General features: G+C 49.0%; 1 protein-coding gene and 1 long non-coding RNA gene across 4 annotated transcripts in view; one reads left to right on the top strand and one right to left on the bottom strand.

The window, feature by feature from the left end:
- Positions 1 to 20,439, top strand: part of LRRC38 (leucine rich repeat containing 38) — a 39,031-nt gene extending 18,592 nt beyond the window's left edge. The window contains exon 2 of one of the 2 annotated variants that reach the window (NM_001010847.2): positions 19,313 to 20,439. In NM_001010847.2, coding sequence (NP_001010847.1) covers positions 19,313 to 19,566 — 254 coding nt within the window. In that variant the 3' untranslated portion in view covers positions 19,567 to 20,439. Of the gene's footprint in view, positions 1 to 1,684; positions 3,082 to 19,312 lie in introns of those variants that run through there. The other variant, XM_047444690.1, reaches the window with a different exon arrangement.
- LOC102724856 (uncharacterized) lies at positions 2,540 to 7,841 on the bottom strand. 2 transcript variants are annotated; one of them, XR_426659.4, is made up of 3 exons: positions 7,540 to 7,841; positions 6,571 to 6,673; positions 2,540 to 2,627 (listed from the first exon to the last, which is right to left on the bottom strand). It is a non-coding gene; the product is annotated as an uncharacterized LOC102724856 (long non-coding RNA). The 2 variants fall into 2 exon arrangements; XR_426658.4 differs by lacking the exon at positions 2,540 to 2,627 and adding an exon at positions 5,587 to 5,952 and having other exon boundaries at positions 7,540 to 7,808.
- Positions 20,440 to 24,478: the final 4,039 nt, after the last annotated feature.

Genomic DNA, 24,478 nt, shown 5'->3' with positions numbered 1-24,478 from the left:
CCAGCCTCTTGCACGTCTCAGGTCTCATTCTGCTCACAACGGATCCTTGTCAGAAACTGGATCACCCACCAGCAACCAGAATCGGCTTCTAAATATGTATCACGTACATCTAGTTTATGTTCAGCTCCCCTTGAGCCAGAACACTGACCTTCTACAGCTCTTCCTGTGGGCCTGTGCAGCCTGGGCTCCCAGACACACTGGGGCTGTCCCACCGTGTATGTCACCAGCTCATCCTCATTCTTTCCTTCGTGAATATTTGTCGTGCTTCTGCTCTGTGCTCCAGAGAGACTGGCTCCAGGATCTTTGTCCCTGACCCTTCTGTGGTCTCAGATCTCATATCATATCTATCCCCACCCCCTTGTGTCCATGGCTCCTGCTTTAGGCTGAGCCAAACTTAGCTTCCCCGCTTCAGAACCTGGCCTCGTAGGGGCTAAACCAAAGGTGACCTGAACATGTTAGCAGAAACCAGAGCAGACCAAACACCTGCCGAAAGCAAATTCAAGTCCAGCTGCCTGGGACAGCGAGGCTGACCATGGCTCTGCCCTCCTGGAGCCAACATTCCAGAAGACAAATGGCTTAGACTGTAGGGTCATGTAACCTGCCTTTCTTCATTTTCAGGTAGGAAAGCACAGCTCAGAGAGACCAAGTGACTTGCACAAAGCCGCACAGCGAACTAGTGAGAAGCTGAGGCAAGAGCCAAGCCCCCCAGTTCCTGGTTCAGCACTGCTCCCCTCATATTGCATGACACTCCTTAGAAGGGGATAGATACATCACAGTGGCTAAGAACACAGGCTTTTGATTTCGATCCACCATGGTTTAAATTCAGTGCCTTTATTTACCAGCTGTGTGAGCCTGGGCAAACTGCTTCACTGCTATGTGCTTCAGTTTTCTTATGTATAAAACGTGGACAAAAATATTCACAAGTCTATCATGAGGGCCAGAGAGAGAGTCCCTGTAAAAAGCCTACCACATTATATAGCAAGGAAGAAATGGAAAAAAAAAAAAAAAAAAAAGTCTAGCACAGTGCCTGGCACACACAGCATGTCAATGCCACTGTTATTGTCACTGCAGTCAATCAGTGTTAACACTCAAAGGACTCAGTTCCTGAGGCTCACGCTGAGCTACAAATGTGTCTCAATGAGGAACTGCTGAACGTGGGTGGAACTGAGGGTGCGGACACCTGGCTCCCGGGCTCGGCTCTGTCACTGACTCATTGTGCAACCTAGGGGTATGTGTGAGTTTCTTATTACTGCTGGAACAAACTATCATGTTGTAGGGGCTTAAAATGACACAAATCTGTTATCTTCCAGTTCTGGAGGTCAGACATCCAAAATGCTTCTTTTGTTTTTGAGACAGAGTCTCCCTCTCTTGCCCAGGCTGGAGTGCAGTGGTGCGATCTTGGCTCACCGCAACCTCCGCCTCCTGGGTTCAAGTGATTCTCCTGCCTCAGCTTCCCGAGTAGCTGAGATTACAGGTGCACGCCAGCACACCCAGCTAATTTTGGTATTTTTAGTAGAGATGGGGTTTCACCATATTGGGCAGGTTGGTCTCAAACTCCTGACCTTGTGGTCTACTCACCTCAGCCTCCCAAAGTGCTGGGATTACAGGTGTGAGCCACCATGCCCAGCCCAAAGTGTGTCTTAGAGGCTAAAATCACGACATCTGTGTCCTTTTGCCTTTCCAGGTTAGAGGCTTCCAGCACTCCTCGGCTCTCAGGCACGTCCCCATGACCTCTCTGCATCGGCATATCTCTTTCTCCTGCTCTGACCTGCCTGCCTCCCTTTTATAAGGACCCTTGTGATTATATCAGGACTGCCTGCAAATCCAGGATAATCCCCCCATCCCAAGAACCTTTATCTAATCACATCGGCAAAGCCCCTTCTGCCTTACAAGGCAGCATATTCACAGATTCTGAGGATTAGCATGTGGACGATTTAGGGGGTCGGCCTGGATCTCCTCCAGGGAAGTAACCTCACTTCTGTGTCCCCACCTGTGACAGTAGAAGGTCAGATAATGGCGAGGTCTTCTCCACCTGTGTAGGCTCATTTCTCATGAAACCTCTCCTTGCCCACCCCAAAGGCCCCACCCCGAGGTCACTTCCCCGTACCACAACCCTGGCCCTGGTGACAGCAGTTGCTGCAGCACCGAGCCCCGCTGAAGGCCACCAGGTGCAGATATCTGGTGCTGGGAACCTGGGTCTTCCCTGGCCCCTGCTGCTGGAAAAATTATAAATACAAAAAAAAAGCAACTTGATTTCTGACTTGCCAGGAAAATCAGAATTGCTTGTATTGGTAAATTATTTTGAAGCTATTTGAAGCATAGAGAGCACTTCGTGAGCCGAGGGTGAGATGCCTGCACTCACGGGAAGATATCCCTGGAATGACTGTCGCACACAGCACAGAGACAGAAGGGGAGTCCCCATTCCAGGGATAGCGTGGCCCCCAGGGAACTCCCAAGAGCGACGGGACTCACGTGGTCGGAGGTTAGGCCTGGGTCAGGGGGGAGAGGGGAGCGGCAGAGCAGAGATGCGTCACATCTTTTATAATAGAATCGTGAATGCTGTGTTATGTTGGCTTGTCTGCACTTTGAGATCTGCTGGGTCCACAGAGGTGCCAGTCAAACAGGTCCTGGATGAGTAAGAGAAGAATTCATAGAGTGTCAGGGCTGGGTAATGGTATGTTTTCAAAAAGTCCTTTTTTTTTTCTTTTTTGAGGTGGAGTCTCACTCTGTCACCCAGGCTGGAGTGCACTGGTGCGATCTCAGCTCACTGTAACCTCCATCTCCCAGATTCAAGTGATTCTTGTACCTTAGCCTCCTGAGCAGCTGGGATTGCAGGCACCCGCCACCAGGCCCGGCTAATTTTTGTATTTTTAGTAGACATGGGGGTTGTGCCATGTTGGCCAGGCTGGTCTCGAGCTCCTGACCTTAGGTGATCCACCCACCTCGGCCTCCCAAAGTGCTGGGATTACAAGCGTAAGCCACCGCACCCGGCCAAAAATCCTTTTTTTAAGAATGAAAATTTTCTCTATTTTTTGCATTATATTTTTCCTCCAAATAAATGTAACAACAACACGTTGTCTATCCATGAAATGGATTATTATGCAGCCTTAAAAAGCAAGGGAATTCTGACATGCATTACAACGCGGATGAACCTTGAGGACATTATTCTACTTTGTGAAATTAATCACAAAGGACAAATATTGTATGATTTCACTTGTACGCAGTACGTAGAGTAGTCAAACTCACAGAAGAGAAAGTAGAATAATATTTGCCTGTGCCTGGGAGGAGGGGGAATGGGGAGTTAGTATTTAATGCGGACAGAGTTTCAGTTTGGGAAGATGGAAGGAGTTCTGGAGGTGGATGGTGGTGATGGTTGCATAACGGTGTGAATGTAACAACGCTAGAGAAACTTTCCACCTGAAAATGGCTAAGATTTGGCCGGGCGCTGGGGCTCACACCTGTAATCCCAGCACTTTAGGAGGCCGAGGCAGGTGAATCACCTGGGGTCAGGAGTTCGAGACCAGCCTGGCCAGCATGATGAAACCCTGTCTGTGCTAAAAATACAAAAATTAGCTGGGCGTGGTGGCACATGCCTGTAATCCCAGCTACTCTGGAGGCTGAGGCAGGAGAATCACTTGAACCTGGGAGGCAGAGGTTGCAGTGAGCCGAGATGTCGCCACTGCACTCCAGCCTGAGTGACAGAGGGAGACTCCGTCTCAAACAAAAAAAAAAGAGAGAAAAGAAAATGGCTGAGATTTAAATATATCATCTTAGCCATTTTCAAGTGGACAGTTTGTTTCTCTAGCATGAAGCTACCTTCACATTGTTGTGTTATAAATTTTACCACAATTAAAAATATTTTTGGCCAGCCTGGGCAACATGGCTAAACCCTATCTCTACAAATAAATACAAAAAATTAGCCAGGAGTGGGGTCACACATGACTGTCATCCCAGTCACTCGGGAGACTGAGGTGGGAGGATCGCCTGAGCCCAAGAGGTCGAGGCTGCAGTGGCTGAGATCACGCCACTGTACTCCAGCCTGGGTGACAGAGTAAGACCCTGTCTAAAAAATAAAAAATAAAAAATTTTGAACTGGATTTAAAAAATACCCCAAGGCAGGGCATCTGATGCTCAGCACGGCTGCTGCGTGAGTGAGGCTGGCTACTTCTGTGTTGTGGGTGCTGTCTTGTGCAGTGTGGGACGTTCCATGGCATCCTTGTCTTCCACCTTCCAGATGCTACTGGCGCTCCACCCAGTGTGACAACCAAAAATGTCTTCAGACATCGACAAATCCCCCGATGGGCAAGATTACCCCCAGCGGAGAACCATTGCCCTGAAGGGTTGTTGGGCAAGAGGGTTACGTTAAATGGTAACCGGGAAGTACTCATCGTAGTTCCTGATAAATAGCAGGAGTTTCTAGAAATATTACTTCCCAATAGGATGCCTGCTTGACAGTGTCATGGGAGGGGACACACACACCCCTGCGTATCCTGAGACACACAGCACATCTCTTTTTCTAGCGTGCCGGCGAGCCCACCATTACAGATGAACTTGGGACAGTGGGTGCTTTAGAATGGCAGGCCTGGGAGGGAGCCACAGTGGGTGCCTGACCATCCAGAGGCCGTGTGGAGCTCTGAGCACCATGACAGGCTATGGGAGGTACCAGACTCATGGACCATTCCTAGATTTCCTCACACTGCCTAACCAGAAGGTTCTCTCTAACCAAATCACCCATAGTCACCAGACACAGGTTAGTATCCCTAGTACTCAGCCTGGGGCTCAACTCATAGGAAGTGTTTATTTTGGATGATGGAGCGGGTGGGGGTGGAGGTGGACATGGGGAGGTGGTGGGAGCAGCAGTGGCAGTGATGGTTGAGATGACAGGGGTGATGGTGACATCAGTGGGGATAGTGGAAACTCATGCTTTTTTCCCAAGAGTATAATTTTCTATAAGGCTGGGCGCAGTGGCTCACGCCTGTAATCCCAGCACTTTGGGAGGCTGAGGCAGGCGGATCACTTGAGGTCAGGAGTTCAAGACCAGCCTGGCTAACATGGTGAAACCCCATCTCTACTAAAAATACAAAAATTAGCCAGGCATGGTGGCAACTGCCTGTAATTCCAGCTACTCGGGAGGCTGAGGCAGGAGAATCGCTTGAACCCGAGAGGCGGAGGTTACAGTGAGCCAGCCGGTCACGCCACTGTACTCCAGCCTGGGCGACAGAGTGAGACTCTGTCTAAAAACAAAAAACAAAAAACAAAAAAAACACTATGATCATTCTCTGCTCCTTTCTTACCAGGGGAAGGACAGATTACAAAAATCACATGAACAGTCAGTCGGTTTTCCTCGCTTATGTGTGCGACTTATGTCAGTGTTTTAAGATGAGGGGTGGGACTCAGGCTAGCATGTGGGATTCAGACACAGGTCACACCCCTGGTGCAGGGTCCCTTTTACTGCACTGCCCCTTCTACAGGACACACTCTGTGGAGCCAGGACAAGCCAGGGTGAGCCCTTGACCCGAAGCTGCAGATGTAGCTTCCTCTTAGCAAAATCAGCTTATTACTCAATCAGACGAAGTGTCTGCGGTGGAGACGAGACGGGAGTTTAATTGGGAATTTTCCCTGTATGCAACTGTCGATATTTAATGAAAGTGGTGGTGGAGAACACAGGTCAGCACTATCAGAAATTAAAGCTGGTGTTCCTGGCACCCCTGTCCCCAGGAGAGAAGCAAGCCCTGCAGTCCCTTCTCGGCTGCCTCCTTACGAAGAACATTTCTCTGCGGCTTGAAGCGGCTGCAGCAGCGACTGTAGCACGTGCAGCTTCCCCAGATGCTCAGGGTGAATTAAGGACCTGGTGCCTGGGAAGAGCACTACACAGGGAGTCAGGAGACCTGGGTTCCAGTCCAGACTCCAAGTGGCCTTAGACAAATTGCCCAAGTTCTCTGGGCCTCTCATCTGTAAAATAAAGGAGAGGGGTGGGGAGGGAGGGGAAATGAGAGATATCAAAGGTGACTTCAGATCTTCTATGATGCTGTGAAACCAAGGCTGGCTGTGGGCGTGAAAGGCCAAAAAGCTACTGTTATTTCTTGGGCCTTTGGGTTTGGAGTTCCTGGAGGCTGGCAAGGAGGGCAGGGGAAGCTGTTCTACCAGCATAGGCTGGGCTCTCTTAGCCAGGGAGGGGAAGGCAGAAGAGAGTGATGGGGAGTAGTAAGCTCTTGCCAGGAGCAGAGGGACCAATGCCCAGTGGTCCCTGGAGAACCTTCCATGTTTGTCCTTCCTCTAGGCCATGGGAGGAAGAATCTGCCTTCTCTGGAAGTTGTAGCTGCAGTAATGGCTGCAGGGTATTTTACTGTGTAGATGAGCCACGATTTACTTACTCAGCCCCACTCAGCCCGGGAGGTTTCCAGTTTTCTCTCCTAGAAGCAATGCTGCTGTGAACAGCCTTGCCCACATTCTTCATGATTTCCCTAAGACATATTCCCACAAGTTGAAGGTTGTGGAAATGGATGAGGTTGGGTGGGCTGGATCGACCATACTTCTCTCCAATCCCCCCTTCGCACGACGGCCTCTCACCTTGGGAAGACTTGCAAAGCTCATGTCATAGCTCCTGGGCAGGCAGTTCACAGAAGGACACATCCAAATTTCCAGTGAGCACGTAATACAATGTTCAGCTCTCCTAATAATCAGATAAATGCAAACTAAATCAACAATATACCCTTTCATGGCTTATCAGATTGATAAAGATGAAAGAGTGACAAAATCCAGTGTTGGCGCAAGTTCAAGGACTCACCCACAACCTTCAACTTGTGGGAATGTATCTTAGGGAAATAATTAAGAATGTGTTCAGCCAGTCACGGTGGCTCAGGCCTGAAATCCCAGCACTTTCGGAGGCCGAGGTGGGTGGATCATGAGGTCAGGAGTTCAAGACCAGCCTGGCCAACATGGTGAAACCCCATCTCTACTAAAAATACAAAAATTAGCCAGGCATGGTGGCAAGTGCCTGTAATTCCAGCTGCTCAGGAGGCTGAGGCGGGAGAATTGCTTGAACCCAGGAGGCGGAGGTTGCAGTGAGCCGAGATCCCACCACCACTATACTCCAGCCTGGGCGACAGAGCAGGACTCTGTCTCAGACAAAAAAAAAAAAAAAAGTGTGCAAGGCTGTTCATAGCAGCATTAGTTCTAAGAGAGAAAACTGGAAAGATCCTGGGGTTGGGTAAGTAAATCATGGCTCATCTACACAATAAAATGCCTTGCAGCCATTGAAAATGATATATTTGTTGAATGGAAAGATGTTCCCAGTATGGTTATCCGACAGAGTGGTGGAGTGCATTTCTGCTTGGTAGATTTATGTACACACACACACACACACACACACACACACAAACACACACAATCTAGAAAAGGTATAAGCCAAGTGTTAACTTTTTTTTTAATTCTCCCTTGTTTTTGATTATTTTTATTGTCTCAGTATATATGTGAGCTTTGCCTAATATGTGGAGATAAGAAAACAAAAAAATATTTTTAATGACAAAAAGCGCTTACCAGAGCCTGTTGTTAATCTGAGTTACGCAGTTCCCAGGAGGCCAGATCAGGGGAAAGGGCCTGAGAGATCCTCTGGCTGCAGGCCTGTTTGTTGGCAAGGGGCCGGTCCGGTGCAAGAGATTAATCTCAATCTAACATCCGCTGTGTCACTGTCTATTTCTGGAGAATGGCAGCTCTTCACCCTCTCCAGCTCAGGTGTCAGCTGCTGGGGAGAAGTCATCACTCAAGGGGAGGGAGCCCAGACAGGTGGTGACGGGCAGGCCACGGAGCCGCCCTGCACAAGGGAGATGCCTGTCTCTTCTGAATGTGCCCTGGAAGAGAAGGAAGTCGTGGTTATAAGGGGAGGGCGCTGTGGGCCCTGTTCTGCCTAGGCCAGAATGAGACGGAGCCCACTTTGGTTTCAGTGGGTTGGAGGTAGACCCATCGCAAGACGAAAGGTGGGAAGTTGACTTCCCACCAGTTGAGCCTGCCTATTGTGGGGAGGTGAGCTGCATCACTCCCGCTGCCTCCCAAAGCCCTCATGCCACCAAGCACATGGTTTTATAGAACAACAGGACCCAGTTAAATGATTTGTGGCTGTGGGACAAAGGCTGACAGTTAGGACAGGAGCCCAATTCGTTCTTGAATTCCGTTGTCCTAGAATCCATCGGTTGGGTATCTTGAGCGTAAACAACAGAAGCCAACTCTGACTAATGTAGGCAGGGAAGGAATTTGTTGCAGGGATGTCAGATAGTTCACAGAATTGAAGAGAAGCCTGGAGAAGCAGGCTCAGAAGAGAATGGGGCAGGTCTGCAGGTGGAGAACGCAGAACCAATGGACAGTTTCTGCAGGGTGGGGCTGCTGGCTGGACTGAACGGGTTCCAGCCATCTATTTAGTCAATCCACCCAAGATTCAGTGTCCTGGGAGAGACAGACTGTGGCTCAGTGTGGGTTGGGTACCGACCTCTATGTCAGGAGAGGGCCACACATTTTAAGAAAGTTAGGGTAGGTGCAGTGGCACACGCCTGTAATCCCAGCACTTTAGGAAGTTGAGGCAGGTGGATCGCTTGAGTCTGGGAGTTCGAGACCAGCCTGGGCAACATGGCGAAATCTCGTCTCTACTAAAAATACAAAAATTAGCTGGGCGTGGTGGTGTGTGCCTGTAACCCCAGTTACTTGAGAGGCTGAGGTGGGAAGATCGGTTGAACCCAGGAGGTGGAGGCTTCAGTGAGCCAAGACCGTGCCACTGCACTCCAGCCTGGGTGATAGAGTGAGACCTTGTCTCAAAAAAAAAAAAAAAAAAAAGGTACACCAAGACATATTTAATGGGTGAGAGATGATTGCTCCAAAAGGAAGCTGGGGAGTTGCCTCAGGAGAGATGAAGGGGGAGAAGCCAGAGGGCAACAGGTGGGTATGAAATATGTGATTCCTATAGTGGGTTGAATTGTATCCCCCGAAAAGGCGTGTCCAGGTCCTAAGCCTTGGCACCTATGAATGTGACCTTATTTGGAAAAAGGGTCTTTGCAAATGTAATTAAATGAAGGATCTGGAGATGAGATCATCCTGGACTGAGGGTAGGACTGTCCTAAATCCAATGGCAGATGTCCTTGTAAGGGAAGGGCAGAGGGAGACTTGCAAGACGGAGACACAGAGCAGAGGCCGTATGGAGACAGAGGGAGAGGCTGGAGGGAGGCGGCCATAAGCCAAAGGATGTGAAGAACTACCAGAAGAGTTCGAGACCAGCCTGGCCAATATGGCGAAACCCCATCTCTACTAAAATTACAAAAATTAGCCGGGCGTGGTGGTGGGCGCCTGTAATCCCAGCTATTCGGGAGGCTGAGACAGGAGAATCGCTTGAACCCGGGAGGCAGAGGTTGCAGTGAGCCGAGATTACACCACTGCACTCCAGCCTGGGTGAGGGTGACAGAGCGAGACTCCGTCTCAAAAAAAGAAAGAACCACCAGAAGCTGGAGGAGTCCAGGAGGGATTCTCCCCAGAACCTTTGGAGGGAGCCCAGCCTGGCTGACACCTTAATTTCAGAATTCTGGCCTCCCAAACTATGAGAGGATAAATTTGTTTTAAGCCCCTCGGTTTGTGGTAATTTGTAACAGCAGCCCAAAAAACAAACACAGCATGCAACCCCCTTGAATGACATTTTAGTGCTCTTTGCCCTGAGTACTCCAGGCTCAGGCCACCAATGGAGGTAGCATGGGCCCCAAACCAGATTGACAAGACATTGTGCAGCTTTGGCATAATCGTAGGACCCTCTGGGTCTTAGTGTCCCGGCAATAACTTGTGCAAGCATTCTTCTTCTTCTTTTTTTTTTTTGAGATGGAGTCTCGCTCTCGCCCAGGCTGAAGTACAGCGGCACAATCTTGGCTCACTGCAAACATCGCCTCCCGAGTTCATGCCATTCTCCTTCCTCAGCCTCCCGAATAGATGGGACAGTCGCCCGCCACCATGCTAATTTTTTGTATTTTAGTAGAGACAGGGTTTCACCGTGTTAGCCAGGATGGTCTCAATCTCCTGACCTCATGATCTGTCCGCCTCGGCCTCCCAAAGTGCTGGGATTACAGGCGTGAGCCACTGTGCCTGGCCGTTTTTTTTTTTTTTTTTAAGGTGGGGTTTTGCTCTTGTTGCCTAGGCTGGAGTACAATGGCGCGATCTTGGCTCATCACAACCTCCGCCTCCCGGGTTCAAGCGATTCTCCTGCTTCAGCCTCCTGAGTAGGTGGGATTACAGGCATGCGCCATCACGCCTAGCTAATTTTGTATTTTTGGTAGAGACGGGGTTTCTCCATGTTGGTCAGGATGGTCTTGAACTCCTGACCTCAGGCGATCCCCCTGCCTCAGCCTCCCAAAGTGCTGGGATTACAGGCGTGAGCCACCGTGCCTGGCCTGTGCAAGCATTCTTAAGGCAACAGGGAAGGGTATTGTCTAACTGCATAGGCACTAGGGTGAGACCACCTGATTCTAGATCCCGGCTCTTCCATTCTTAGCTGGATAACCTCAAGCAGGTAACATAATTGTTCAGTTTGCTTATCTGCGAACCAGGATCATCCCAGTACCAGCTGCAGAGTTTGTTTTGTAGATTAAAGGAGTGCAGGCAATGCAGAGTGCTTAGAAGAATATCTGGCATATGGTGAGGCTGCAAGAGAGGTTGGCTGATGCATCTCCACTCTGTCTGTTTCCAAAGATCAATGAGAGTTTCCACCTCCCAAGAGAGGAAAGCATGAAAACATACACAGCTTCTCTCTACTCCAGAGAGTTGCAAGTTACCTGCTGGTGAATTTGGGGGAAAGAACTTTTGTCCTAGAAGGCAGGGGCCTGTGCCGGTCCAGCACCATCGGCCTCTGGGGATCCATCTGTCTGATAGGGGAGCTGGTTTCAGAACCCCTTTGTGGCCACAGGTCTAAGCCACGTTCTCTGATCCTGTCTTTATTCACATGTTGATTCAAAAATATCACTTACAGGTTCTAGTACTAGGAATACAGCAGGTAACAAAACAAAACGCTGGACCTCACATAGCCGACATGGGAGTGGGGGAGGAGCAGGGGGACAGAAAATAAATACCTGCTCAGAGAAAAACAAAGAGGGAAGGGGGAGATGGAGGATGATGGGGTGGGGAGAGCGGCTGCTTTGAATGGAGGCAGGGAGGCCTCTTTGAGAAGGTGACTGCCTAGTCACCTGACGAAAAGGAAGGAGCGAGCCAGGCAGAGCAGGCAGGTGCAGAGGCCCTGACGGTGGCCTGCGCGGGGCGTTTGAGGAACGGCAAGCAAGGCGGAGTGGAGGGGTTTAGCAGGGGTGATGCGGGCTGTGGATTTCATTTTAAGAGAGATGGGGAGCCACTGGAGGGATGTTGAGCAGAGGAATGACTAGAAGTAGTTGTAATAAATCTCTCTCCACACACACATGCGTACTCGCTCCCTCTCCTCTCCCCTCCCCTCCCCGCTCCTCCCCTCCCCACTCCTCTCCTCTCTGTTGGTTCTGTTTCTCTGGAACACCCTAATATGGGCACCCTTCTCATATATCTGGAGTCAAACGCAGGCTCAGTCTGAAACTTCAAAAATCTGAACAATGCTAACCACGGGATTCTCGAGCACGTACGTGGCCAGGTACTGTGGTGAGAGCTTTTCAGATATTCCCTTATTTCATGTTCACAGTATCATCTCGAGGAGGCACTCAAGGTGGCTGGGCCTGGCCCAGGGTCACACAGGCACCAGGTGGTGAAGTGGCCCAGCCTGGGGTCCGTCCTAACCCTAACGTGGGCAGCATCTCTTCATTCTGTATTTCAGGGCATCCAGGGAGCCCTTCTGACAAGGGTGTCCAGAAGCTGTGCTCCCTGGATGCCCAGTGGCTTCATCTTCCCAGCCTTTCCAGCTCATGGTGGGATCAGGAGGGTGGCTGGAGAGTTCTAGGCCATCTCTTTAGAAGACACTCTGCCTGGGCTGGGTGTGGTGGCTCACGCCTGTAATCCCAGCACTTCGGGAGGCCGAGGCAGGTGGATCACCTGAGGTCTGGAGTTTGAGACCAACCTGGCCAAAGTGAAACCCCATCTCTACTAAAAATACAAAAATTAGCTGGGGGTGGTGGCATGTGCCTGTAATCCCAGTTACTCGGGAGGCTGAGGCAGGAGAATTGCTTGAGCCTGGGAGGCAGAGGTTCCAGTGAGCCGAGATCACACAACTGCACTCCAGCCTGGGCTACAGAGCAAGACTCTGTCTCAAAATTAAATAAATAAATTAATAAAATTAAAAAAAAAAGACACTGTGCCTCGAGGGAGCTTGTTGGGAGGGGCTGGGCCAGGCTGGTGCAGCCCTAGGTCTCGTGCCTGGGAGAGTGGGAGGCACGATGCAGTGGCCAAGCTCCAGAGCCAGACCAGCTGGGGTCAGGCCCAGCTCTGGCATTTCCCTGCTACATGGCCCCGGGCAAGTCACTTGCCCTCTCTGTGCTTCAGTTTGGTCAGCTATAAGATGGGGATACTTAGAGTGGCCTTCTGATCAGGTTGGCCTGAGGAATAAACAAGGCTAGTATGTTTTGTGAAGCTTGAAGTGTGCTAGGCACACACCAGGTGCTGTGAAGTATTGGCTTTCCTTCACTATTCTTAACTTAGACAGCTGACGGGATAGGTCAGGAAAAGGAGAACATTCCAAGGTCAGGTAGGAACATTGCAGGGATCCCATGGTCACCTCCATGTGCCGCATGCCAGCCCATCCTTCCACTGTCCTGCTGATCCAGCCCCCAAAGCCCCCTCTGTGAGCTTGCCCTTGACCTGTCTTGTGGGGCGTTGCACTTTCTTTTTTTTTTTTTTTTCCGAGATGGAGTCTTATTCGGTAGCGCAAGCTGGATTGCAGTGGCGTAATCTTGGCTCACTGCAGCGTTTGCCTCTGGGGCTCAAGAAATTTTCCTGTCTCAGCCTCCCAAGTAGCTGGGAGTAGAGGCGTGCGCCACCACACCTGGTTAGTTTTTTTGTTATTTTTAGTAGAGACAGGGTTTCACCATGTTGCCTGGGGTGGTCTTGAACTCCTGCATTCAGGCGATCCACCCGCCTCAGCCTCCCAAAGTGCTGGGGTTACAGGTGTGAGCCACCGTGCCTGGCCAGGCTTTGCACTTTGTCCTTTAAGTGTCCTCTTTTGTGCCTGTGTCCCTATGCCTCTCCTGTAAGACCTAAGCTCCAAGAGGCCAGGGCCACCTCTCTCTGTCTCTCTCTCTTCCTCCCACTCTCCCTGCCTTCCTTCCATCTTCCCTTCCTTCCTTTTGTATCCTGCATGGCATGTAGCATGAAGCCTCACCTGTTTTGCTTAATGCATGAATTAAAGGAAGCCATTTAATAACTAAATGTCTATTTATTGACTAAAAATAGGCCTGTCTTAGAAGGTTACTATCTTAGTCTTCTCAGGCTGCCATAAGAAAACACCATAGATTGGTGGCTTAACAAGCAGGCATTTATTTCCTCACAGTTCTGGAGGGTGGAAGTCTGAGATCAGGGTGCCAGCAGGGCTGGGTTCTGGAGAGGGCTCTCTTCCTGGCTTGCAGATGGTCGCCTTCTTTCTGGGTCCTCACATGGCAGAGAGAGAGAGAGAGAGAGAGAGAGAGAGAGAGAGAGGGAGAGAGGGAGAGAGGGAGAGAGAGGGAAAGAAAGTGAGAGGCAGAGACAGATTGGGAGAGCTCTCTGGTGTCTCTTCTTCTAAGAACACATTGGCCGGGCACGGTGACTCATGCCTGTAATCCCAGTACTTTGGGAGGCCAAGGCGGGCGGATCACAAGGTCAGGAGGTGGAGACAATCCTGGCTAACACGGTGAAACCCCGTCTCTACTAAAAAAATACAAAAAAAATTAGCCGGGCGTGGTGGTGGGTGCCTGTAGTCCCAGCTACTCTGGAGGCTGAGGAAGGAGAATGGCGTGAACCCAGGAGGCAGAGCTTGCAGTGAGCCGAGATCATGCCAGTGCACTCCAGCCTGGGCGACAGAGCGAGACTCCATCTCAAAAAAAGAACAAAAAAAAAAAAATAAAAAAAACATAAGAACACTAATCCCTGGCCAGATGCTGTGTCTCACATCTGAAGTCCCAGCACTTTGGGAGGCCAAGGTAGATCTCTACTAAAAATACAAAAAAATTAACTGGACATTGTGGTACACACCTGTAATCCCAGCTACTTGGAAGGCTGAGGCAGGAGAATCGCTTGAACCCAGGAAGCAGAGGTTGTGGTGAGTCGAGATCGCGCCACTGCCCTCCAGAGTGAGACTCCATCTTGTTGGAGGGGGTGGGGAGGAAGAACACTAATCCCATCAGGACAGCCACACCCTAGTTACCTAATCTCATCTAACCCTAACTGCCTCCCAGAGGCCTCACCTCCAGATACCATCACACTGGGGGCTAGGGCTTCCACATATACATTCTGGGGATCTAAATGTTTAGTCCATAATAGCCACCTAATGGCTGGGCCTGGTGGCTCACGCCTTTAATCTCAGAGCTTTGTGAAGCTGAGGTGGGAGGATTGCTTGAGGACAGCAGTTCCAGACCAGCCTGGGTGTATTAGTCTGTTCTCGTGCTGCTAATAAAGACATACCTGAAACTGGGTAATTTATAAAGGAAAGAGGTTTAATGGACTCACAGTTCCACATGGCTGGGGAGGCCTCACAATCATGGTGGAAGGTGAAGGAGGAGCAAACTCACGTCTTACACGGTGGCAGGCAAGAGCGCATGTAGAGGTGAACTCCCATTTCTAAAAACATCATGGTAGTGAGACTTATTCACAACCAGGAGAACAGTATGGGGGAAACCTACCAACCCCGTGATTCAATTATCTCCACCTTAACAGCTGGGGATTATTACAATTCAAGGTGAGATTTGGGTGAGGACACAGCCAAACCATATCACTGGGCAACAGAGCGAGACCCTGTCTTTACAAAAAAATTTAAAAGTCTACATAATAGCTATATACTTAGTAGAGCATTTCACTCTAAAGCAGTGATCCTCAACTGAGGTGACTTTGTCCTCCCCACCCAGGGGACACGTAGCAATGTCTGGAGACAGTTTGTTTATTTTTTAGACAGAGTTTCGCTCTTATTACCCAGGCTGGAGTGCAATGGCGTGGTCTCGGCTCACTGCAGCCTCTACCTCCGGGGTTCAAGCAATTCTCTTGCCTCAGCCTCCCAAGTAGCTGGGATTACAGGCATGCGCCACCATGCCCAGCTAATTTTTGTACTTTTAGTACAGGTGGGGTTTCGCCATATTGGCGAGGTTGGTCTGGAGCTCCTGACCTCAGGTAATCCACCCGCCTCGGCCTCCCAAAGTGCTGGGATTACAGGCATGAGCCACCACTCCCGGACTGGAGACAGTTTTGATTGTCACACTGGGTGGGAGGTGTTGCTGGCATCTGGTAGGTGGAGGCCAGGGATGCTGCTGAACATCCTACAGGACACAGGACGGCCCCTATGTCAAAAAAATGTTCCTGTCCCAAATGTCAGTGATGGCCAAGTTGAGAAACCCTGGTTTAAACAAGGGTCTACCAGGAGAGAAGAGGGGACCCTGGAGTCTGCCTATGCCAAGTCTAGAGTTGTGCTGTTGGCTTCACAGCCTTTGTAGCCAGCTTTTGTAGCAATACCCTCAGCCTTGTGCTGGGCCCTGTCTGCCTGGCAGACTCTCTTCGTCCAACTCTTCTTCTTTCTCTGCCCTTTGTGAGCTATGAAAGCTCATCAAGTCAGTGGATCTTATCATGAAAGCCCCACTAAGCACTGCCGTTCTAAAGTCCCCGCCCCTGGTGGGCTTGTGTGCACCGTTTTTCAAACAAGCCCATTTCTTCTAGCCACGGAGAAATGTGAGATGACATTTTCTAAAATTGTCACTTTGTAAAAATGCCAAGATGAGTCTCAAGGCACAAAGAACATTGTGGAAATCAGAACTGACTTGGGAAGTGGTGGCTTGCAAAGGTTGGATTTAAACGGCAGGTGCCGTGGGCTTATGTTGTTGGGTTGTGGTGGTTTTCCGGTTGATACCGCTTCCTGAAGATGAGGATTTCTAGAAAATTTCTCCAGCTAAATAATGATCTGTCACTAGTTTGGAGGCTGCAAATAATCTGCTGGCTTTAGAAACTGTCTGTGCTTCACACAGTCTGTTGGTGTCCATCTTACTTATTTTCATAACGTTTTTGGCCGGGGTAGGCTGTTAGGAGGCAGGTTGATTGATGTTTTTCCATTTTTTCATTGAAGACATGAGTGTCTGCAAAAAAAAAAGCCCAGTATAACTTTGTTTTAAAGTGCTCCTATTTTTATTTTTATTTTTTAAAAGATAAAGCTCTCCTGTTTTATTCAAATGCATTTAAAATTCTCAGAAGTTTGGCCTCTTTAAGAAAAAGAAACAGTCAAAAACAGTAATCAAGTATAAATTGGGGAGGCCTGCAGAGCTCTGGTCCAGCTAATTCCTTGGGTATATAAAGCAGACACTGATTCTGGGAGAGGAGGGAATGCAGAGTCTGGTTGCTAGGCAATGGTTCCCATGGGACAGAAGCATCGATGGGTTGGCTGTAGACTACATAAAAGATGGGGCAGGACAGAAGGAAGGAGGATGCTCAGATACTATTCCTCCATCTCCTGTTTCTGAGATGGAGAAAAAAAGACACACAAACCCCCCCAGGGTGGTTGCAGGGTTGCTGTGTAATTAGCAGGGCTGCTTTTTCCAGGACAGAAGCCTGCTAATTAGCGAGGTGTGAAGAAATCATTTCAACTTTCACATAATGCTGGAAATGGGTTAAGGGTCAGCCTTTTGAAACCTGGAAGCACCAAAAAAGAGAGGAGGTGAAGGTTTTCCTGAGAGTTGAAGGAAGCCAGAGGCAAGCAGAGGCTGAAGGCAGTTGAGCTTCATGTCAAAATGGTGTCCTTGCATCTCTCTGGCTATTCTCACTGGGAAAAGGGCACCTTGTTAATCAAAGGATAAGAGTAAGCTTCCATAGCCAAATGGCTGGGTTCAAATCCTGGCTTCATCACTGTGAAGCTGCATTGCCAAAGGCAAGCTATGCACATGCTCTCAGTTTTCTCATCCATGAAATGGGCATAATAACAGTACTTACCTCATAAGATTGTTATGAGTAAAAACGTGTGTAGTGATTAGAACAAGATCTGCACATAGTAAGTGCAACATGACTGTTAGTTACTACTTTATTTATTTTTCTCTTCTCTTCCAGATCAGAAACAAAAGATCTGAGCTCTTTATGCATTCTAATACCATTCATTCTCTTATAACTGAGGTTTGTAAAATCATGGTCGTCATTTGAATTTGCACATAGCTCGTATTGTGTATCAGTCAGGATGATTATGCTTGGTAACAAACAGTCTTTAGCAGCTCTGTACCACATAAGCTATTTCTTTGGTTCATGTCCAAGGAGGGCTGGTGTTGGGGATGATGGGGCTCTGTTCATAATATTTATTCAGAGAACTTAACCATCAGGGACTTTATCTCAACACATGGTGTGTTTCTCACCTAAGCTGATGCTAAATTCTCCTATGTTCACTCAGCTACCCCTGGCTACATTGTGTTCCCTGAATGCTGAGCTCTTTCCCAACATTTCTTTTTGACACAGGGTCTCTGTTTTCTGGGCTAGAGTGCAGTGGCGTGATCATAGCCTCAGTTTCCCAGGCTCAAATGATCCTCCTGCCTCAGCCTCCTGAGTAGCTTGAACTACAGGTGTGTACCACCACACCTGGCTAATTTTTAAAAATTTTGTAGAGACAGGGTCTTGCTATGTTGCCCAGGCTGGTCTCGAACTCCTGAGCTCAAGTAAGTCTCTCATCTTGGCCTCCCAAGGTGTTGGGATTATAGACATGAGCCACCACACCCGGCCTTTTTCCCAGCTTCTTGTCTCTGCCTAGAATGTTCTTCTCATGGCTAGTTTCAGCTCATCCTTTTGACCTTAGCTGAAATAATACCTCCTGACCACCCCTGTTAAAGACAATTCTTTGTCCCAGACTTTCTTTATCTTTCTACCCTGACGTTTCATCCTAAACATTTTACATGTCTTGAACTATTCATTTATTGTCTAAAATGTAAGCTAAATGAAGGCAAAGGCTTTGTTTTGTTTCCTGCTGTATCCCCAGGGCCTTGTACATGGCAAATACTAAAAAATATCTGTGGCATAAATGAATGTCTATATTCTCGCACTAGAATTTAAACTCTCTGAGAGTAGAGGACTTAGTTGCCTTGTATATCACCAACCCGGTTGTTGGCCCAGGAGAAGTACAAGTTCAAGTCTGGGCAACATGGCGAAATCCATCTTCAATACATTCTTTTTTTTTGAGATGGAGTCTCGCTCTGTCGCCCAGTCTAGAGTGCAGTGGGGCGATCTCAGCTCACTGCAACCTCTGCCTCCTGGGTTCAAGTGATTCTTGTGCCTCAGCCTCCTGAGTAGCTGGAATTACAGGAACACACCACCATGCCCGGCTAATTTTGTATTTTGTATTTTTAGTAGAAACAGGATTTCACCATGTTGGCCAGGCTGGTCCCGAACTCCTGACCATGCTAACCCTCTTTTCATTTCCACTCAGAGGACAGTGAAGAGGAGGATAGTATCTAAGTTGGAAAGTGGCACTACCAAGTGGAGGGTCTGTCCGCTAGTTGGCACTGACCCATCCCACTGCATCTGCCCCAACCTCCACTCCCTGCTACTAGTCGGGTCTGGATTAGGGTCTACAGATGTCCTAAACCCGAAACAGATAATGATGCCCTTCCATCCCCGCTCTGAGTAATTCAAAATCAAAAGAGTAATAAACCTGGCTGGGTGCAGTGGCTCACGCCTGTAATCCCAGCACTTTCAGAGGCCGAGGTGAGCAGATCACCTGAGGTCAGGAGTTCAAGATCAGCCTGGCCAACATGGTGAAACCCTGTCTCTACTAAAAATACTAAAATTAGTCAGGTGTGGCGGTGCACACCTGTAATCCCAGCTACTTGGGAGGCTGAGGCAGGAGAATCGCTTGAACCCGGGAGGTAGAGGCTGCAGTGAGCCGAGATCACGCCATGTTGCCTAGGCAACAGAGACTCCGTCTCAAAAACAAAAAACAAAAAACAAACACCTGAAAATAGGTCAGTGAAGACCAGCACGTTCCAACTTTTCCCATGGTGATCACTCTAAGGCTTTTTTTTTTTTTTCAAGTTTAAATTCCATTTAAATTAGCCTTTTCCCCCCTTTTATTTTTGGGAGGATGCTTGCACATTGCTGGCTTTGTAAGCACCTGCCTTGTCAACTTTTAGGCAACCTTGAGCTGCAGTCTAAATCTCTCTCTCCTCTGCCTGCCTTTTCTCAGGCCTTGATGAAATCCAGTGCTCCCTGCCCATGGAGAGCAGGAGGATATCCCTGCGTGAGCTGTCGGAGGCCAGCTTCAGCGAGTGTAGGTTCAGCCTGTCACTCACAGACCTCTGCATCATCATTTTCTCCGGTGTGGCCGTGTCCATTGCGGCCATCATCTCCAGCTTCTTCCTGGCCACTGTGGTGCAGTGCCTCCAGAGGTGCGCACCCAACAAAGATGCGGAGGATGAAGACGAGGACAAGGATGACTGAGCCACCTCCTCCCTCCTGCCTCTTACTCTCCAGCACCGAACCAGAAGCTCTCTCCAAGACGAGAGGGAAATGCTGAAAATGGAAAAGCACTGGCCACCATCTGTGAACTGAACAGAGCCTGTTCCGTGTCTTGGCCCCTGGGTACACCTGCTGGGACCACTGATCTCAGAGTTTAGAATCAGCAGAGCACAGAAGCCCAGGAAGGATGGAGGGAATTATTCCTGGAGCATAACCTGCCTCTCAGATCGAGGTGTGTGTTGGGGGAGAAGATGACCGAGTCAGGCTTCATAGCTGATGACTAAAAGCCTCCCCCAGGAAATGTGAAGACTGGCAGCTTTCAATGGCAAAGATGATTTTACGCCATTCTTTTTCTGACCTGTACTGGGAGATCATGAAACATCTGCCTTCCTCCCAAGAAACAGCAGCTCAAACAGTGGAGATTCAAATTCGGATCATTCACCACAAGAACGAGAACTTTGATCCTTATATAATAGGCCTCAGCAACCTTGGGATGTTATACTGGGAACTAATAAACTCGTGTGCAATAGACTCAATGTTTATGTTCCCCCAGATTTTATATGTTGAAACCTAATCCCCAATGTGATGGTATTTGGAGGTGGGGCTTTTGGGAGGTGATTAGGTTTAGATCATATCATGAGGATGGGGCCCAAATGATGGGATTAGTGCCCTCATGAAAGGTGGCCCCAGAGAGCTCCTTCACCCCTTCAATGCTTGAGGATGCAGCAAGAAATCAGCTGCCCATGAACCGAGAAGCAGGCCCTCACCAGAACCCAGCCATGCTGGCACCCAGATCTCAGACTTCCAGCCTCCAGAACTGGGAGAAATAAATAAATGTCTGTTGTTTGTAAGCCACTCAATCTCTGGTATTCTGTTATAGTGGTCGAAATGGACCCATGAAGAAGCTAACAACTGGTCAGAGGGTGTCTGTTGTTAATTTTGGTAAGCTGGTTGGGAAAACTTTGACTTGACATAACTCAAACCCTGATCTTTATCCTAAGCGGTAGCGACTTGTAGAGGAAGGATTAGTTGCTTTGTACAGTTGTGATGGTCTCTCTGCTCAGCATCATTTTTCCTTCTGAAGGACAGACAGGTTGTTCCCCTCCATCACCCGCTTCCTGAGTTCCTTCCCAGCTACTCTCTATGTCAGCACAGTTCTCTATCTCCAGAACTTTTGGTAAACTTGCCTGGAGGCCAGTATTCCAACCAGCATGTTGCACCGGATCAACCAAATGCTTAAAAAACAAAAAAACAAAACAAAAAACACTGGGACTTGGGCTCTGAAAAACTTCCATCAGTGGCCCTTAGGGTGTATGTGACATTGCTTTGGTGCACAGGCTATGACAGGCACCAAAAAAAGTGTTTTCCAGGATGTGGAATGCAGCACTTTGGTTCAGAGACAATATGAAACAAACAAGTCTTACACCCCAGTGGGTTAATACAAGATAGCTTGTGCTAGCAGCATTGGATGAGGCTGGGGGCTGAGACTTGGATGAGGGCCTCACACCAGCTCTCGAGATATTTTTGAGAATCGTTTCTCCATTGTTTCCTATCATATATTCCTGTTTCTTTCCTCCATTGCTCCCTTCCATCTTTGCCCTCATAAATAGCTATTGAGTGCTTGAGTGCCAGGTACTGGTCCAGGCACTGTGGCTATGCTTTGGATAGGAAACACAGGTTCCCTGCTGTCTTGTGCTTTATATTCTTATGGGTAGAACATAAAACAAACAGGGAAACAAAACTACCATTGCAGGCAGAGATAAGTATCATGAAGGAAATAAGCGAGGTCCTTTAACAGAGAGTCACTGGGAGAAGACACTCCAGCGGAGGTAGTGGGGTGTGTTAGGTTTCTCCAGAGAAAACAGAACCAACAGCAGACAGACAGACAAAGAGATTTATCGTAAGGATTTGGCTCAGGAGATGATGGAGGCTGAGAAGTCCCATGATCTGCAGTTGGTGAGCTGGAGACAGGACAGCTGATGGTGTAGTCCCAGGCCAAGGGCAGGAGAAGACTCAGCTCAGCAGTCAGGCAGAAAAACAGTGGATTCTTCCTTCCTCCACCTTTTTGTTGTATTCAGGCCCTTACTGGATTAGATGAGGCCCGACACACTGGGGAGGGCCATCTGCTTTACTCAGTCCACCTGTTCCAATGTTAATCCCATCCAAAAACACACAGACACACCTGGAAATAGTTCAACCAAATATCTGGGCACCCCATGGCCCAGTCAGGTTGACACAAAATTAACCATCACATCGCAGAAGGCCTTTGATTGGGTGGCTTTTGGGCTGAATCCTGCTTCCCCCTTCTCCCGCCTCCTGACCTCCTCCCTTCTTTCCTACTCTCCCACTCTTTTCTCCCCTTCAGCCTAGAGGAGACTCTGGGTCACCCCTCTGCTCCCCAGCATTGCAGTCTCCAGTGGAGGAGACCCCTGGCTCAGGAGGGCTACCTTCTTACAGAGACCCTGGGCCAGCGGAGAAGTGAGTGGCATCTTCCAGGACTCCATGGCAACCTCAGCTCCTGTGAGAGCCCCATCTATGGTCTCTGACCCTCAGTGCACATACTGCTCCCCCTGTGCAAAACAACACAATCTAAAGTCAGCACCTCCCCAGCCTGGCCCCAGATTCAGCTGAGAACTACGTGGGGTTGGAATTGCTGCCATGGCCCGCTCTCCACCTCAGGAGCACCACTACCTGAGACTCAAAGGCATGAACCCAACTGGGTTTTGGCCTCCACCAAAGTCATAATGTGTACCTCCAAGAGTCCTGGGGACATGGTACCCTAAGCTGGGGAAACAGCACTAGACCCTTGTTCTAATAGGTTCTAGTGGGTGAATTCCCGTTTAATGAGTCTGCTTTATTCCTTCTGTCTGCCTCAGGTGATTCATGCTGGTCAGCAGGTTCAGTTGTTTCCTTAGAAGGCATGAGCCAGGCTGGGCATGGTGGCTCACGCCTGTAATCCCAGCACTTTGGGATGCCAAGGCAGGTGGATCATGAGGTCAAGAGATCGAGGCCATCCTGGCTAACACTGTGAAACCCCGTCTCTACTAAAAATACAAAAAAATTAGCCGGGCATGGTGGCGGGCGCCTGTAGTCCCAGCTACTCGGGGGGCTGAGGCAGGAGCATGGCATGAACCCGGGAGGTGGAGCTTGCAGTGAGCCAAGATCCTGCCACTGCACCACTCCAGCCTGGGTGACAGAGCAAGACTCTGTCTCAAAAAAAAAAAAAAAAAAAAAAAAAAAAGCACAAGCCCTGCATGGCGCAGGGGCCAGGATTCATTCACAGAATAAATTAGTGAGCAGGGGAGGGGCAGTCATTTCTGCTGGCTGTACCAAAGAGTTTTGGAGTGAACATGATTCTTGGGAAGAACAGGAGCTTTAAAAGATGTTCAGTTAAAATGGTCCCTTACTGCCTGGATATAAAATTTTTATAAAACATTGAGAACATGGGGGACCTGGGGGTGGGGAGGATCTGCAGTCAGGCCCAAGAAAATAAACTGACTAGGAGCCACAGCTCAACTGAGGAAATGCCTTTTGAGACGTGACATTGCACAAACAACAGGCAATGATTTAGAGCTCTCTGACTTGCCATTGATTGGGTCTCAAGTTATTGCCATTATTAATAGTGACAATGCTACATACCAGTTTAGGGTCTCCCACATCTCCAAAGGTGTCATTTGGGTCTCCGCTCAAACATTACTTCCTCAGTGTCAGCCTTATCACACCACCCTATATTATTTTCTGCACAGCTCATACCATGATCTGATCTATGTGTTTGTTTGCATGTTTATTGTTTACCTTCCTGGACTAGAACTTGAGCTCCCCAAGGGCAGAGACTTGGGCAGCTCATGTGCCCAGCATTTAGAACCATGCCCAGCACAGCCGGGTGCAGTGGCTCATGCCTGTAATCCCAGCACTTTGGGAGGCTGAGGCAGGAAGATCATGAGGTCAGGAGATTGAGACCATCCTGGCCAACATGGTGAAACCCCGTCTCTACTAAAAATACAAAAATTAGCTGGGTGTGGTGGCGCATGCCTGTAATCCCAGCTACTCAGGAGGCTGAGGCACGAGAATTGCTTGAACCCAGGAGGTGGAGGTTGCAGTGAGCCGAGATCGTGCCACTGCACTCCAGCCCAGGTGACAGAGCGAGACTATGTCTCAAAAAATAAAAAATAAAAAAAAAAAAAAAGAACCATACCCAGCACATAGCAGTGGCACAGCCAGCATAGGTATTGGTTGAAAGAACAAACAAATGGTTTGCCACATTAGCTACCCCACAAACCTGAGGTCTATGTAGGCATCCTTACAGCTCCAGGTAAGAGCCACTATCGTGCCAGTTTTGTAGATGAGGAAGCTGACGCTCAGAGAAAGTAGGTAGATTACAGGAAGCAACTGACCCCAAAAAGACTTGTGGCTATTGGACTCTAAAGCCTGTGCTCTTGGTTCTGCTCATAGTTCATGTGTATTAGAGGCATTCTCTGTATGAGATGCTAGACCAAGCCCTTATGCGGATTTCCTCCTGTAAGCCACTCAAACTGTATGAGGCAGGTACCATTATTACCTAGTCTTTACAATTCCATCACTTCCATTTTGCCATTGAGAGAGCTGGTTTGGGTCTGGGAGTAACTTGCCAGGGGGACACAGCCTGTCAGTGATGGAGCGGGAGTTGGCCACAGGTGCTCTGACCCCTGCATTCACTGCCTCTCTTAGCCACCTGCATTCCCTTCTTAGGTCAGCAGGTGCAGGCCTGGCAAGAACAGCGTGGAGGGACACATTTCTTGAGGCTGCATGCTGAGCTTCTGGAAAAGCAGCCTGCAGTTGCCATATGCACCCAAGATGAGTTTATTCCAAGCCTCAAATCCAACATCTCAGATTCCCCCCAGTGAAGAGTCAAAGC

Source organism: Homo sapiens, chromosome 1, assembly GCF_000001405.40.
Source record: "Homo sapiens chromosome 1, GRCh38.p14 Primary Assembly".
Classification (NCBI taxonomy): domain Eukaryota; kingdom Metazoa; phylum Chordata; class Mammalia; order Primates; family Hominidae; genus Homo; species Homo sapiens.
This window is presented reverse-complemented; position numbering and strand designations above follow the sequence as displayed.